Source organism: Homo sapiens, chromosome 1 (genome assembly GCF_000001405.40).
Source record: "Homo sapiens chromosome 1, GRCh38.p14 Primary Assembly".
NCBI lineage: Eukaryota > Metazoa > Chordata > Mammalia > Primates > Hominidae > Homo > Homo sapiens.
Genome location: NC_000001.11, coordinates 5,596,488 through 5,610,839, shown reverse-complemented (window position 1 = coordinate 5,610,839; position 14,352 = coordinate 5,596,488). Strand labels below are relative to the sequence as shown.

The 14,352-nt window shown below is 42.4% G+C and overlaps 2 annotated features.

Moving 5' to 3' along the window:
• Positions 12,575-13,221: an enhancer, noted in NCBI's record as "H3K4me1 hESC enhancer chr1:5657679-5658325 (GRCh37/hg19 assembly coordinates)". NCBI's record gives its function as "activates a minimal SCP1, AML or CMV promoter by ChIP-STARR-seq in primed H9 embryonic stem cells {active_cell/tissue: H9 hESC(primed)}" and the evidence as "EXISTENCE:reporter gene assay evidence [ECO:0000049][PMID:30033119]".
• Positions 13,222-13,870: an enhancer, noted in NCBI's record as "H3K4me1 hESC enhancer chr1:5657030-5657678 (GRCh37/hg19 assembly coordinates)". NCBI's record gives its function as "activates a minimal SCP1, AML or CMV promoter by ChIP-STARR-seq in primed H9 embryonic stem cells {active_cell/tissue: H9 hESC(primed)}" and the evidence as "EXISTENCE:reporter gene assay evidence [ECO:0000049][PMID:30033119]".

Genomic DNA, 14,352 nt, shown 5'->3' with positions numbered 1-14,352 from the left:
AAACTTGGAAATTAGAAAATATTTTAAACGATAATGAAGGTACACCATATCATACTAGTATGTTAAAGTAGTGCTTAGAGAGAAATTTATAGCCTTATATATAAAAAAGAAGAAAGGCTAAAAATAAATATCTTAAGCTTTCATTTCAAGAAGCAAGAAAAAGAAAACCAAGCCAACTTCAAAAATATAAAAGGAAAGAAATGATGACCAATGCAAAAATAAATGCCATAGAAAGCAAGCATGCAATAGAGAAAAACAAGAACCCCAAAAGTAGATTATTTGAGAAGATCAATACAATTGACAGACTCCTAATAAAACTCATCAAGAACAAAAAAGAGAACTCATTATCAACAACAGAAATGAAAAAGGGAATAGGAACAACTCTACAGATGTTTCAAACATTAGATAGATAATAAGATATTATGAGAGTATGTCTGCTAAAGATTGTACACCGAGAATATATAATGATTTTTTTTTTTTTGAGATGGAGTCTTGCTCTGTTGCTCAGGTTGGAGTGCAGTGATGCAATCTTGACTCAATGCAACCTCCACCTCCTGGGTTCCAGCAATTCTCCTGCCTCAGCCTCCTGAGTAGCTGGGATTACAGGCAAGTACCACCATGCCTGGCTAATTTTTGTATTTTTGGTAGAGACAGGGTTTCACCATGTTGGCCAGTTTGGTCTCAAATTGCTGACCTCAGGTGATCTGCCTGCCTCAGCCTCCTAAAGTGCTGGGATTACATGCATGTGCCACTGCACTAGGCTGAGTTATTACAACTCAGTAGTAATGAACAACTCAATACAAATGGGCAAAAGATTTGAACAGCACTTTCTGAAAGATGTTATTCCAATAACAAATGCATGAGAAGATGTTCAACATCATTAGACACAAAAAGGAAAACTAAAATTGCTATGAAATACCACTATACATCTACCAGACTGGTTAAAATGTAAAGGACTGATCATACCAAATGTTGGTGAGGAGGAGGAGTAGCTCTTACATGTATATCTATTTAAAAAAAATTTTAAATTATTATTATACTTTAAGTTCTAGGATACATGTGCACAATGTGCAGGTTTGTTACATATGTATACATGTGCCATGTTGGCTTACATGCATATATTAACTCTAGGTATGTGATGATAGGTTAGGTATGAATACTGTAGTCCTTTGAGCAAATTCTAAAGAATAATACAAAGAGATACAGCCAAAAATCCAAAAGAAAAATTAAAATGGAGTCCTAAAAGCATTTAACTAGGACAAAAGAAGGCAAGGATGGGGAAGAAATGAACAAGAAATAAAGGGGACAAATAGAAAATAAATGAAAATGTAGTTCACCTATATTCAACCATATGGGTAATCACTTTAAATGTAAATGGTCTAAATATACCAAATCAGCACAGATTGTCAGATTGGATAAAAATATATGTATATACTATGTATGAAAAATCTGCTTAAATATGTGTGTGTGTGTGTGTGTGTGTGTAAAAAGTAAAGGATAGAAAAACATATTTCATGCAAAAACCAAGAAAAAGAAAGCTGAAGTGGCTATACTAATCTGACAAAGTAAACTTCAAAGCAAGTAACACTTCCAGAAAAAAAAGAGAGACAGTGAGTAATTTTAAGTGGTCACTTAGCCAAGAAGACCTAACAATCCCATGTCACTGTTCACATGACAGTAGAGCCTCAAAATATGTGAAGCAAAAACGGGAATTGAAGGAGAAACAGACAAACTCACAATTCTACTTGGAGACTTCAACACTCCTCTGTCAGTAATCAATAGAACAAATAGAAAATCAGTAAGAATACAGAATACCTGAGCAACACTTTAAATGAATATGACCTAATTGACATTTATAGAACATTCTACTAAAAACCAGAATTCACATGGAACATTCAGAAGGAGGATTCATGAAAATAATCCAAATTCTGGGACACATGGAAAACATTAAAATATTTCAAAAATTTTAAAGAATTGAAATCATGAAAAGTATGTTCTCTGATTATATAAGATTTAAACTAGAAATTGATAACAGAGAGATAGCTAGAAAATCTTGAAAATTAAACGTTGCACTTCTAAATAACCCTTGGGGCAAAGAGGAAGCCAAAAGGAAACTTAAAAAATATTTTGAATTGAGTGAAAATACGAAAACAACATATCAAAATTTGTGTGATGTGGCCAAGTAGAACTTAGAGGGAAGTTTCAAGCATTTTAATGTCTATATTAGAAAAAAAGTTGATGTGCAGCCTTTCTTTTTTCTAATGTAAACACTTAATGCTTGAAATTTCCCTCTAAGTTCTACTTGGCTGCATCACACAGATTCTAATATGTTGTATCCTTATTTTCTATTTTCCATAAGAAAATAGAAAAAGAGAGCAAATTAAAAGGAAAACACGCAGGTGGAAGGAAAGAATAAAGAGCTCAAAACAATGAAATTGAAAATAGAAAAATAATGGCGAGAAGCAGTAAAACCAAAAGCTTTTTATTAAAAAGATCAATAAAATTGATAAAATTCAAGTCAGACTGAGCAAGAACAAAAGAGACCCAAACAGCTATTATCTTGAATGTAAAAGAGGACATTGATACAGATACTACAATCATCAAAAGATAATAAGGGCATATTACAAACCACTTTGTGTTTATACATTTGACAATTTAGAGGAAAATGGATCAATTCCTTGAGAGACACAAACTGCCCAAGTTCACTCAGGAGGAAATAGATAGCCTGAATAGTCTTATGCCTTTTAAAGATGTTGAATTTGTAGTTAAAAACCTTTCTATAAAACTCCGGCCATCGTGGGCTTGACTGGTAAATTCTACAATATATTTTAACACGCAAGTAACAGTAGTTCTGTACAAACTTTTCCAGAAAATAAAAGCAGAGAAAACATTTCCCAACTTAGATTCACATGACTTGATTTCAAGATTTGCTATAAATCTACCATGGTTAGTATAGCACGGTGTTGGTAAAAGAATACAGTAGAATACAGAGTCTAGAAATAAGCCCAAGAAATATATGGTCAATTGGTCTTAACAAAGGTACAAAAGCAACTGAACGGAAAAAGCAGATTCTTTTTAAAAATGATGCTGGAACAATTGAACATTGATATACTTAAGCAAACAAACCAATAAATAAATAAATATATAACCTCAACCCATACTTACTCCTTATGATTTCTAAATGTAAAGCCTAAAATTGTAAAACTTCTACAAAAATGCTCTTCCACAGAACATACCCATCTGTAACGACAGGCATGTTCGATCTGTGCTTTCCAGTATGGGAGACACTGGGCACATCTGGCTGCTGAGCACTTGAAATGTGGCTAGTGTGATTGAAGAAATGAGTTTTATATTTCATTTAAGTTTCATTAATCTAAATTTAAATAGTCACATGTAGTTAGTGGCTAACATCTTAGACAATGCAGTTTGAGAAGAAAATACAGGAAAAAATTTTGTAACCTTGGTTAAGAAAATATTACTCAAATATGACACTAAAAGCATGATCTGCATGAGAAAAGATATGGATAATTTGGGCTTTATCAAAATTAAAAATTTCTGCTCTGTGAAAGGCTCTTTCACAAGAATGGAAAGACAGGCCACAGACTGGGAGATAACATTTGTGAATCACATATCTGACAAATGGCTTGCGTTCACAATACCTAAAGAGTTCTCAAACTCAGTAAAAAGTAAACAACTCAGTTAAAAATGGGCAATATATTTGGGCAGACATTTTATTAAAAAATACATGTGGAGAAACATCACTAATAACTATGGAGCTGCAATTTAAAGCTATAGTGAGATACCACTATATATCTTTTAGAATGAGTAAAAAGAAAAAAATATTGACAATACCAAGTGTTAGCAGGGAGGTAGAGCCACTGGAATTCTCATCCATTACTGGTAGGAATGCAAAATGTTACAGACACTTTGGAAAACGTTTTGGTAGCTTATCATAAAGTTAAATATAAACTTACTATATGACCCAGCAATTCCACTCCTTGGCATTTACCAAAGAGGAAAGAAAACATATGTCCACAAAAGATATGCACAAGAATGTCAATTTCAGTTCCATTAATAACAGCCCCAAATTGGAAGTAGGTTAAGTATTCATTAATAGATAAATGAGTAAATTGTGGTATATCCATATATTGGAAATCCTTTCAGCAATAAAAAAGAATAAATTAGTGATACATGAAACAACATGTTTTGAACCTCAAAAACATTATGCTGATCAAGAGCTCACCCTGATTTTTAATTTTATATAAAGTCCCAAAGTTGACAAAAATAATTTGTAGTGATAGAATTCATACCTGTGGTTGCCTGCAGAGACTGACTTAGAGGCAGAAGAGAATACTCTGAGATGATCTAAATGTTCATCTTGATTGATATCTTGTAATAAATGTATGTCTTGATTGAAGTGTTAGTTTCATTGGGATATATATATATATATTCCCATATTCACTGGGAGATATATATATATATCCCAATAAAATATATATACATGGTTGACCCTCAAACAACATGGGTTTGAGGGGTTTGAACTACATGAGTCCACTTATACATGGATTTTCCTTCACCTCTGCTACCCCTGAGACAGCAGGATCAACCCCTCCTCTCCCTCCTCCTCAGCATAATCAATGTGAAGATGATCATGAGGAACACCTTTATGATGATCCACTTCCACTTAATGAATGGTCAATATATGTTCTCTTTCCCATGAGTTCTTGATAACATTTTCTTTTCTCTAGCTTACTTTATTGTAAGAATACAGTATATAATACATAGAACATACTACATGTGTGTCAAACCACTGTGCTTTTGGTTGACAATAGGGTATTAGTAGTTAAGTTTTTGGGGAGTCAAAATTTATGTGCAGATTTTTGACTGTGCAGGGGCTGTGTGCCTTTAACCCCTACATAATTCAAGAGTCAACTCTGTACGTATATTTGTCAGAAGTTATTGAATTTTACACTTAAGATCTGTGCAAACTACTGAATTCAAAGTTTTCCTCAATTAAAAAGCATGAGAGGGATATCTGTTCACAAACAGAAAGTAGGCTGGGCGCAGTGCCTCAGGCCTGTAATCTCAGCACTTTGGGAGGCTGAGGTGGTGAATCGCTTGAAGTCAGGAGTTCGAGACCAGCCTGGGCAACATGGGGAAACCCCATCTCTACTAAAAATACAAAAATTAGCCAGGCGTGGTTGTGGGTGCCTGTAATCCCAGCTACTTGGGAGGCTGAGGTAGGAGAATCGCTTGAACCCAGGAGGTGGAGGTTGCAGTGAGCTGATATGGCCCCATTGCACTCCAGCCTGGGCGACAGAGCAAGACTTTGTCTCAAAAACAAACGAACAAAAACAAAAAACAAACAAACAAAAAACCCAGTGGTTTCCAGAATATATTGTTAAATGGACCCAATGAAGGAGTGTTTGTGTATTTAGTTTGTTACTTTTTGATGAGAATAAAAAACCCTAAAGGACTAGAAGGAAGACAGAGCAAGAAACAGGATGAAAGCAACACTTTTCTGAATTTATCTCGTTTTACAGTTTTTACTTTGGCATCATGTAAATTATAAAATTAAGTTTATAAATAAAAAAGTAAAATTTAAAAATCCCAAGATAAATGATAATTGAAAACAAAGTGAGGTCATTACATAGCAAATAGAATTATTTCACTGACTATCCTTTATCAACACATTCAAAGCACAAGTAGTGATGCAAAGCAATCTTAAATTTTGTTTGAAAGTCTTATTACATTTTAAAAGTCTTCTATAAAAAATAAGCAAGTTCATTAATTATGTGTATATTGCTAAGGTGTCAGATTTTTAGTGTAAAAAGAGAGATACCATTATAAAACCAAAGAAATAAAATCCATATAAAGGTAAGTTTGAACGGGGAATGTCAGTACGATCTCATGATATCTTTGTGTTTTGAATAAATGCAGGTGCTGGTGGTGCTCACTAAAAATGCCCAGAAGCAAAAAGTGTTCTTGGCACCCAGACTGGCGTCTCCAAATTTCATTCATCATGAAAACGAACCAGGGAACTCTGGGGATAAAAATATTCTGATTCCAGGCCTGAGTAGGAAATATACAAGGTGTGCTTGCCTAAAACATCTTGTTCCCCAAAAGCTAGGAAGCTACCAAAGGCCATTGGAGTTTTATCAAAAGAGCACAGGAACCAATGTGACAAGATACCCATTATTCAAATGGGAGAGTTTAAGCATAAAAAATAATGACTACAACACATGGGATTTGGAAAACCTCATAAATTCATAATGATATTCCAAAAAAGGAAAACAGAGTAGGACAAAGTGGGGTAAGTGTGAGAGAAAGAGACAGAGATAAGAGAGAGAGAAAGCAAGAGATAGAGATGAGAGAGAGAGAGAGAGAGAGAGAGAGATGGGAGAGAGATGAGAGAGAGAGAGAAAGACAGAGATGAGAGAGAAAGAGAGAGATGAGAGAGAGATGAGACAAAGATAATAGAGAAAGAGATAGAGATGAGAGAGAGAAAGAGATAGAGATCAGAGAGAAAGAAAGATAGAGATGAGAGAGAAAGAAACAGATGGGAGAGAGGAGAGAGAGAGAAAGAGAGACGACAGACAGAAAGATGGGAGAGAGATGAGAGAGACAGAAAGAGAGATGAGAGAAAGAGATAGAGATGGGAGAGAGATGAAAGAGAGATGAGAGATAGAAAGAGATAGAGATGAGAAAAAGAGATAGAGATGGAAGAGAGATGGGAGAGAGAAAGATGGGAGAGAGATAGAGATGAGAGAGAAAGAGATAGAGATGTAAGAGAGATGGGAGAGAAAGATGGGAGAGAGATGAGAGAGAGACAGAGATGAGAGAGAGAGATAGAGATGAGAGAGAGGGAGAGAGAGAGGGAGAGAGAGAAGGAGATAGAGATGAGAGAGAGAGAAAGAGATAGAGATGTAAGAGAGATGAGAGAGAGAAAGATGGGAGAGAGATGAGAGAGAGAAAGAAATAGAGATGGGAGAGAGATGAGAGAGAAGAAAGAGACAGAGATGAGAGAGAGAAAGAGATCAGCGAGAGATGGGAGAGAGATAAGAGACAGAAAGAGACAGAGATGAGAGAAAGAGATAGAGATAGGAGAGAGATGAGGGAGAGAAAGAGAGATGAGAGAGAGAAAGAGAGAGATGGGAGAGAGATGAGAGAGAGAAAGAGATAGAGATGAGAGAGAGATAGAGATGGGAGAGAGATGAGAGAGAAAAAGAGATAGAGACGAGTGAGATGAGAGAGAGATGAGAGAGAAGGAGATAGAGATGAGAGAGACAGAGATGGGAGAGAGATGAGAGAGAGAAAGAGATAGAGATAAGAGAGAGAGAAAGATGGGAGAGAGATGAGAGAAAGAGATAGAGCGAGAAAGAGATAGAGATGGGAGAGAGATGAGAGAAAGAGATAGAGATGAGAGAGAGAAAGATATAGAGATGGAAGAGAGATGAGAGAGAAAGAGATAGAGATGAGAGAGAGAAAGATGGGAGAGAGATAAGAGAAAGAGATAGATATGAGAGAGAGAGGGAGAGAGAGAGGAAAAGAATAATCCATTGACAGCCCTTGGAAACACAAAATTCTTACTGTTAAAAACAATTAAAGGGAAAGAATTAGCCAATTATTCTTTACTGATCAGAAATATATAGCCCTGGTTGATGTGGGATAGTGCTTAAGAGAAGAATCTTAGCTAATAAATGGGAAAGTATTGTTAGAAAATACATTTTTTTAAGCCCTGACTGGAATAATGGATTCAGGCAAAGATTATCAATGGACGGAGCCATTAGAGAAGTTAGGGAGCTTGCCCTGGGTCACACAGCCAAGAAGCAGCAGAGGCAGGATCTGAACCCTGCCAGCCTGATTTGTGGCCATGACAGCACTGATATGGTTTGCCTGTGTCCCCACGCAAATCTCATCTTGAATTGTAATCCCATTATCTCCACATGTTGTGGGAGGGACCCGGTGGGAGGTAATTGAATCATGGAGGTGGTTTCTCCCATGCTGTTCTCGTGACAGTGAGTGAGTTCTCATGGAATCTGATAGTTTTATAAGCATCTGGCATTTCCCCTGCTGGCACTCATTCTTTCTCCTGCCGCCCTGTGAAGAGGTGACTTCCATCATGGTTGTAAGTTTCCTGAGGCCTCCCTAGCCGTGCAGAACTGTGAGTCAGTTAAACCTCTTTTCTTTATAAATTACCCAGTCTTGGGTATTTCTTCATTGCAGTGTGAGAACAGACCAATACAGGAACTTTCCCTCATACATTGGTAATAAGTGCATTCACTCATTAAGCAAGTACTCATTGTGAACTTAAACTGCTGGGGATATGTCGGTGAACATAATCCATGCAGTCTGGTCTCACTGCGAGCACACACACAGGGGGTTAAACCCAGGACTGTGGGCATGTGGGAGATCATTATACTCTTCCCTGTACTCTGCTGTATGTTTGAAGGTTTTTCACAGCAAACATAAGAAAAAGTAATTAAGGGAGATTAAATCAGTATTGTATTGGCATCCAATTTAGTCTTAATAGTTCAGATGCATAGCATCTACTTATCACAGCAAAACGATGAAGCTATTTTGATGCACGTGACATTTTAAAATTCGGGATTATGAAAGACATTTCAGCATCCCCCTTATTTCCAAAGCTTTTTTCAGTTGAAACATGCCAGGAAAGTCTCGATTCTCCTAGAATGTGGCTACAAAGAAAAACAATCTTTAAAAAGTCCACCTTGCAATCCCAAGATTCTTTCCAATTAAATTGGTACCAAGGCTTGGAAGACAGATTTATGCTCCTTATGATTAAGATGAAAGTTCGATAGGAATCCTTCAGGTTTTAAGTAACCATTTAAACTGATTCCAGAGTGACAGAATCTCCTGCTTCTCCTGCTGCGTCTCCCACACCCCATGCCGCGTCTCCACACCCCATGCCGCGTCTCCACACCCCATGCCGCGTCTCCCACACCCCATGCTGCGTCCCCACACCCCATGCCGCGTCCCCACACCCCATGCCGCGTCTCCCACACCCCATGCTGCGTCTCCACATCCCGTGCCGCGTCTCCACACCCCATACTGCATCCCCGCACCCCATGCTGCGTCTCTACACCGCATACTGCATCCCTGCACCCCATGCTGCGTTCCTGCACCCCATACTGCGTCTCCACACCACATCTGCATCTTCCACACCCCATGCTGCGTCTCCGCACCCCATGCTTGCTGGTTTCTCCCTTGTAATGAGAATGAGCTTTATGCACTTGAGCCTGACCCTTGCCCAGCATTAACGGAGCCCAGGGTGTGAGTGCTGCCAGAGTGTACCTTCAGCCCTCCTTATCCACGACACACTTAATCAATCCCGAATCCTCAGGAAGAGTGCCAGAGCCTTGGTTCCAGGTTCGCCCTAGGAAGGAGGTGGCCTGTCAGTCAGGAAACAGCCTGCTGGTCTGTGACGTGTGAAACTTTTCCTTTAACACCTTTGGGAATGTGTTGATTTTTCATTACCTCTAAAAATAGTTTAAATTTAATTACAGTGAAATTTTGTAGAATCATTTTTGGAATCCTTGAACAAATTCTGAGGGGTTCTGGGCTACATGGTCTGAAATCTCATCATGTGTGTCTCTGAAGACCCTAATCTCATTCTGCTTTGGATTATGGCTAGGAGTCAGGAGTTATTCTGGATGTAGAGACTGAGTTGTGTTCTTAAGTAGGGCTTAAAAAGTTTGGGGCCATTGTTCAGGCTTAACACATGGGGAATGAACTGAATGAATGTATGGTCCCCCTCAAGGACAAGGAACTTTCATTCTGTGGTATCCAGAGGACTCAGCATGAAACCTGGGCGATGGTAGTGAATAAGTGAATGAATGAATAAATGAATGAATAGAAAAGACTCTTTGACTCCTGGTGCCATTGTAACATGCAGCCCTGTCAGGGAAGGGAGTTGGTCCTGTCACCCACATTGCCCGGAGCTTGGCTTTGGAAAGCCAGCCAGCATAATCTGTCATCTGCAAACCTCATGCATCCTTTCCTGCTTAAGTGCTTAGAGGAACCCACATACGTGAGAGGTTCGTTTGTCATCCCCTCTTCTGTTGGGGGCACCAGGGGCTCCCCCACCCACAGCCCATGCTTTTGAGCAGACGGGTGAGTTTAGATAAAGCAATTCCCACGCTCCACTGCTTTCCAGAGATGGGGGCTCACGGTTGGTGGATCCTGGAAGATGAATGACATGGAGCAGGTGACTCCTCTCCCCCTCCCTGAAAAGCCTGGACCAGAATGGAATCTGCCCGCCCTGGGAGGCCTCTCTCTTTGACAGACTCTGCTAAAACAATTGCACTTGTCAGGATCCATCAGGAGAGACTGGTTTCAGGCAGTGAATTGAATTTGCAAGCAAGATAATCAGTTATTGATTGAAAGGGCGAGTCGCAGCTCCTGCCTGCTTCTGAGGAAATGAACTTCTTCTCTTTCTAGAATATTTAATGGCTGGAGCGAGGAGCGATTGCCAGAAGTCACCTTTGGTGGAGAAGCGGTGCTGAGCTGAGCTAGCAGAGCCCGGGCCTCAGGGTTCCCCTCCATGTCTGTGCTATCGATGCAGGGAAATATGAGTAAAATGTGTGGCTTTGGCGCGGTGGCTCACGCCTGTAATCCCAGCACTTTGGGAGGCCGAGGCGGGAGGATCACAAGGTCAGGAGATCGAGACCATTCTGGCTAACATGGTGAAACCCCGTCTCTACTAAAAATACAAAAAAATTAGCCGGGCGTGGTGGCGGGCGCCTGTAGTCCCAGCTACTGGGGAGGCTGAGGCAGGAGAATGGCGTGAACCTGGGAGGCGGAGGTTGCAGTGAGCCGAGATTGCACCACTGCACTCCAGCCTGGGCGACAGAGCGAGACTCCGTCTCAAAAAAAAAAAAAAAAAAATATGTGGCTTTGGCAAGACCTGAGGCTCCATTACTTACTCAGTGGGAGGGAAGGTTGGGGTTGAAGCCCAGGATTCAGGATTCCCCATCTGTTGCAGGTGCCCTGCTCCAGGTAAGAAGCTTTCTGCACCCAGGTGAGGAAGGAGGGAGCCCTACCCTGACCCTCCAGCACATGCCCCCCAGTCCTCAGCTCCTGAGCTCCTGCACGGCCCACAGTGGGCCACCACTTGACACCTCTGGTTCCCGGACTCACGGAAGATCTCCGCCCTGCTGAGTGAGAACAAAGACCAGGCTCCCACTGCGATCTCCTAGAGCCCCCAATTCTAAAATGCCTTTTCCTGTAGGGGGCAACATCGACTTAACAACAGCACCCAGGGAGAGCAAGTGAAACCCCATTATATTTAGCATTCATCATAATTATAAAATATGTCCCAGTTCCAGACAAGCTAAACGGAGAAACGAGAATGAGTGTCTTAGAACAAAGGAGATGTGGTGGTGTCACTTCCATTACTCTCATTATTAATTTGTTTACATCTCACTTTGTACCCAAAGGGTTTGCTGTGGGGAGTTGAGGTGGCTGCCTCCCTGTCCCTCTTGGCTTAGTGGCCATCAGCAGAGGAGACTGATGGGGGATGGCATCTGTGCTGGGCCCAGCGCTGTGTCCAGCCTCAGAGTGGCTGGGCCCTGAAGACACACCCTGACCTCCTGCATCTGAGTGGGAGTCTGCATGACCAGGGGACCTGTTAATCTAGAGTCTGTGACTGTCCCTCTCTTTAGCTCATGCTCCGGTATCTGCAGCTCCAGGATTCCCAGATCTAAATCTTGAGCTGTTTTTAGGGCCTACTTGAATCCACCTTCCTGGGACAAACCAGTGGCAAAGGGGCTGTTAGTGGAGGATGCGGATAGCGCTGGGTCTGGGCTCGTATGGCCTCGGGTACTCCCGCCAGGACAGGGTGTGTCCTTGTGCAGGATAGAGATGGGGTGAGGAGAGCTGGGGCAGAGCCAGAGCGTGGACCCACTCTTAAGCATCACAATTCCTGCTGCCACGTGTATTCTGATGCTTAACTTTACGGAGTTGGAGAATTCTAAATTTAGACCTTGCCTTCTGGGTCATCAGGAAGTATATTTGTCAAGGTCAGAGGATAGAACATGTTTTATTGAGTGGTTTGTTAGTGTGATTTATATATGGGCCTCCAGGGGGCTCCTGCCCTAGGCCTGCCAATGCTAGGTGCGGGCCTCATGCTTGCCAGGTGACTGAAGGAATGAAATGAACATGCATGAGGCACCTTCTCTTCCTTTTCTGGGACTTGGGACTTACAGCTGGCAACTGCAGCCCTGTGCATCTGAGCGTAAGCCAGGTCAGTGTCCAGTTGTGGGAACCTACCAACCCCAAATCCAGATGTCTCCCCTCTGCCCCTGAACTTCCCCTCAGGGTCACATGGCAGGAGGAGGCTCAAGGGTGACACCTTCCAGGGTGGTTTCATCTTTGTCTGGTTGAACTTTGAAAACCATTTGCTGGGCTTGGTCTCTCACCCGTGGGAGGCTCTGCACTGAGGACTGGTTTCAGGATGAACGCCCATTCCCTGTGCTGTGCAGAGACGTCTGTGTGCGCTGGCTCTGGAGTTGGAACCAGAGTTCCTTCTCTGCCTTCTCTGTTATTCTTGGCTGTGCCTGAAAGGGCAACAAGGTTTTGCAATTAGATCTGAGACCGGCCAGAGACCCAGCTATAATGGTATTCATGTTTATTCTGTAGGGAGCCCTTTCTATCTGCAAATATTAGCTAATCCTTGGCTTCACTCTGAGAGAGATGCCAGCGAGATAGACAGAGGCTGGGGCCTGAGTCAGGAGCTGTGCCGAGAAGAATTGAAGAGCAGCATCAAAGGGTGCCTGGGGGAGCTGAATCAAGAGGCACAGCTAATCCGTGGCCCTCCTATTATCTCTCGCCATATTAGAGTCTGGCTTCTGGTCCCTGGAATGTCCAGGGAGCAGGGATTTCTGCTTCATTAATTTTCTGGGCACTTTGGGGTTAATGGGGGGAGAGGAAAAATCTCTGTTTTGCAGAATTTGTTGTGGAAAATCACCGAGTCCTGGTTTCCCCTCCTTGCCTTGGGAAGCCCATGCAGGCCCAAGATGGAGCCTGGGGGCGGCGGGGGCAGTTGTCAAGCCTGCATTCCGCATGCAGCACCTGGTTATCCAGGGATGGTGTGCAAGGTGCGGGGGGCTGCGCGGCTTCTCTTCTGGCCCCAGGATGAACCCTTCAAACTCTTTCATTTCTCAAACAAGCCCTCTGGCATGAGTCAGCCTTTCTTGTCAGCGCCTCTCTCTCCCCAGAGCAGGATGGGGAAACCATTCCCAGGTAATTGAAGAGTGTTGCTAGCTGGATCCTGGGTGACTGAATTTCCACTCTGCTTTCATGTCTGTTTCTGTTTTCTTTTCCCTTCTTCTGAAAGATAACAGGGTGAGAGAAAACACATGTCAAGTAGAAGCTTGCAAGTGGATGTAGGGAAAAGAATGCTTCCAGGGCTCCCCGGGCTGGGTGAGCTGCCTAGACAAACCGGCCGGGGCACTGTTACAGGCTCCGTTGCGCCTCCTCTCCACTAATTCATAGGTTGAAGCCCTCACCCTCAATGTCACTGTATTTGGAGACAGGACCTTTCAGGAGATTGAAGGTTAAACAGTGTCATAAGGGTGGGACCCTTGTCTGATTGGACTGATATCCTCATAAGGAGAGGAAGAGACAGCAAGGATGCTCTCGTGCAGAAGAAAGGCCATGTGAAGCCACAGTGGGAAGGGGACCACCTGCAAGCCCAGGAGACACCAAAGCCACGAACGCCTTGATCTTTTACTTTGAGATCACAAATAGGTAAAAATAAATGTCGGTTGTTTAACTGCCCAGTCTGTGGTATTTCATCGTGGTAGGCCCAGCAGACTAACAGGGACCTGGGGCCTGTCTCATGGCCCAGTGTGCTGGCGCAGGGCTTCCTCCAGCAGGGATGGTCTAGGATTGCAGCAGGCTCAGCTCTGTCTGCCCAACCTCCTTTCCACTGAGGGGGCTGCCCCTGCTCCACCGCACCTGCTCCCAGGGGACATCAGGCACCAGCCCTGCCCAGGCACTCGTGATGGACCCGGCTTGAGTTTGGGGTTCAGGGCATGTGGGGCACCTGCTCACTGGTCTCCACACATGGACTCCACAAGAGAGTCCCCAGCCGGCAGGAGGGTCGCCTTATCCAATTTCCTGCTTTACAAATGCTAATATTTCAACCAGCTGACCTCGAATGAGAAACCAGTAATTGTCCGAAAGAAGATCACCCTTCCAAATCATCTCTGGATCTTGATTTTGGAGAGCCAGCCCCTGGGCTGAATGTGGTGTGGGGTCAGCCCAGGGCGTCCATTCTTTGTTTCCTTAACTAACAGGAAAAGCTGTGTGGGGAGGGCAAGAAAATGC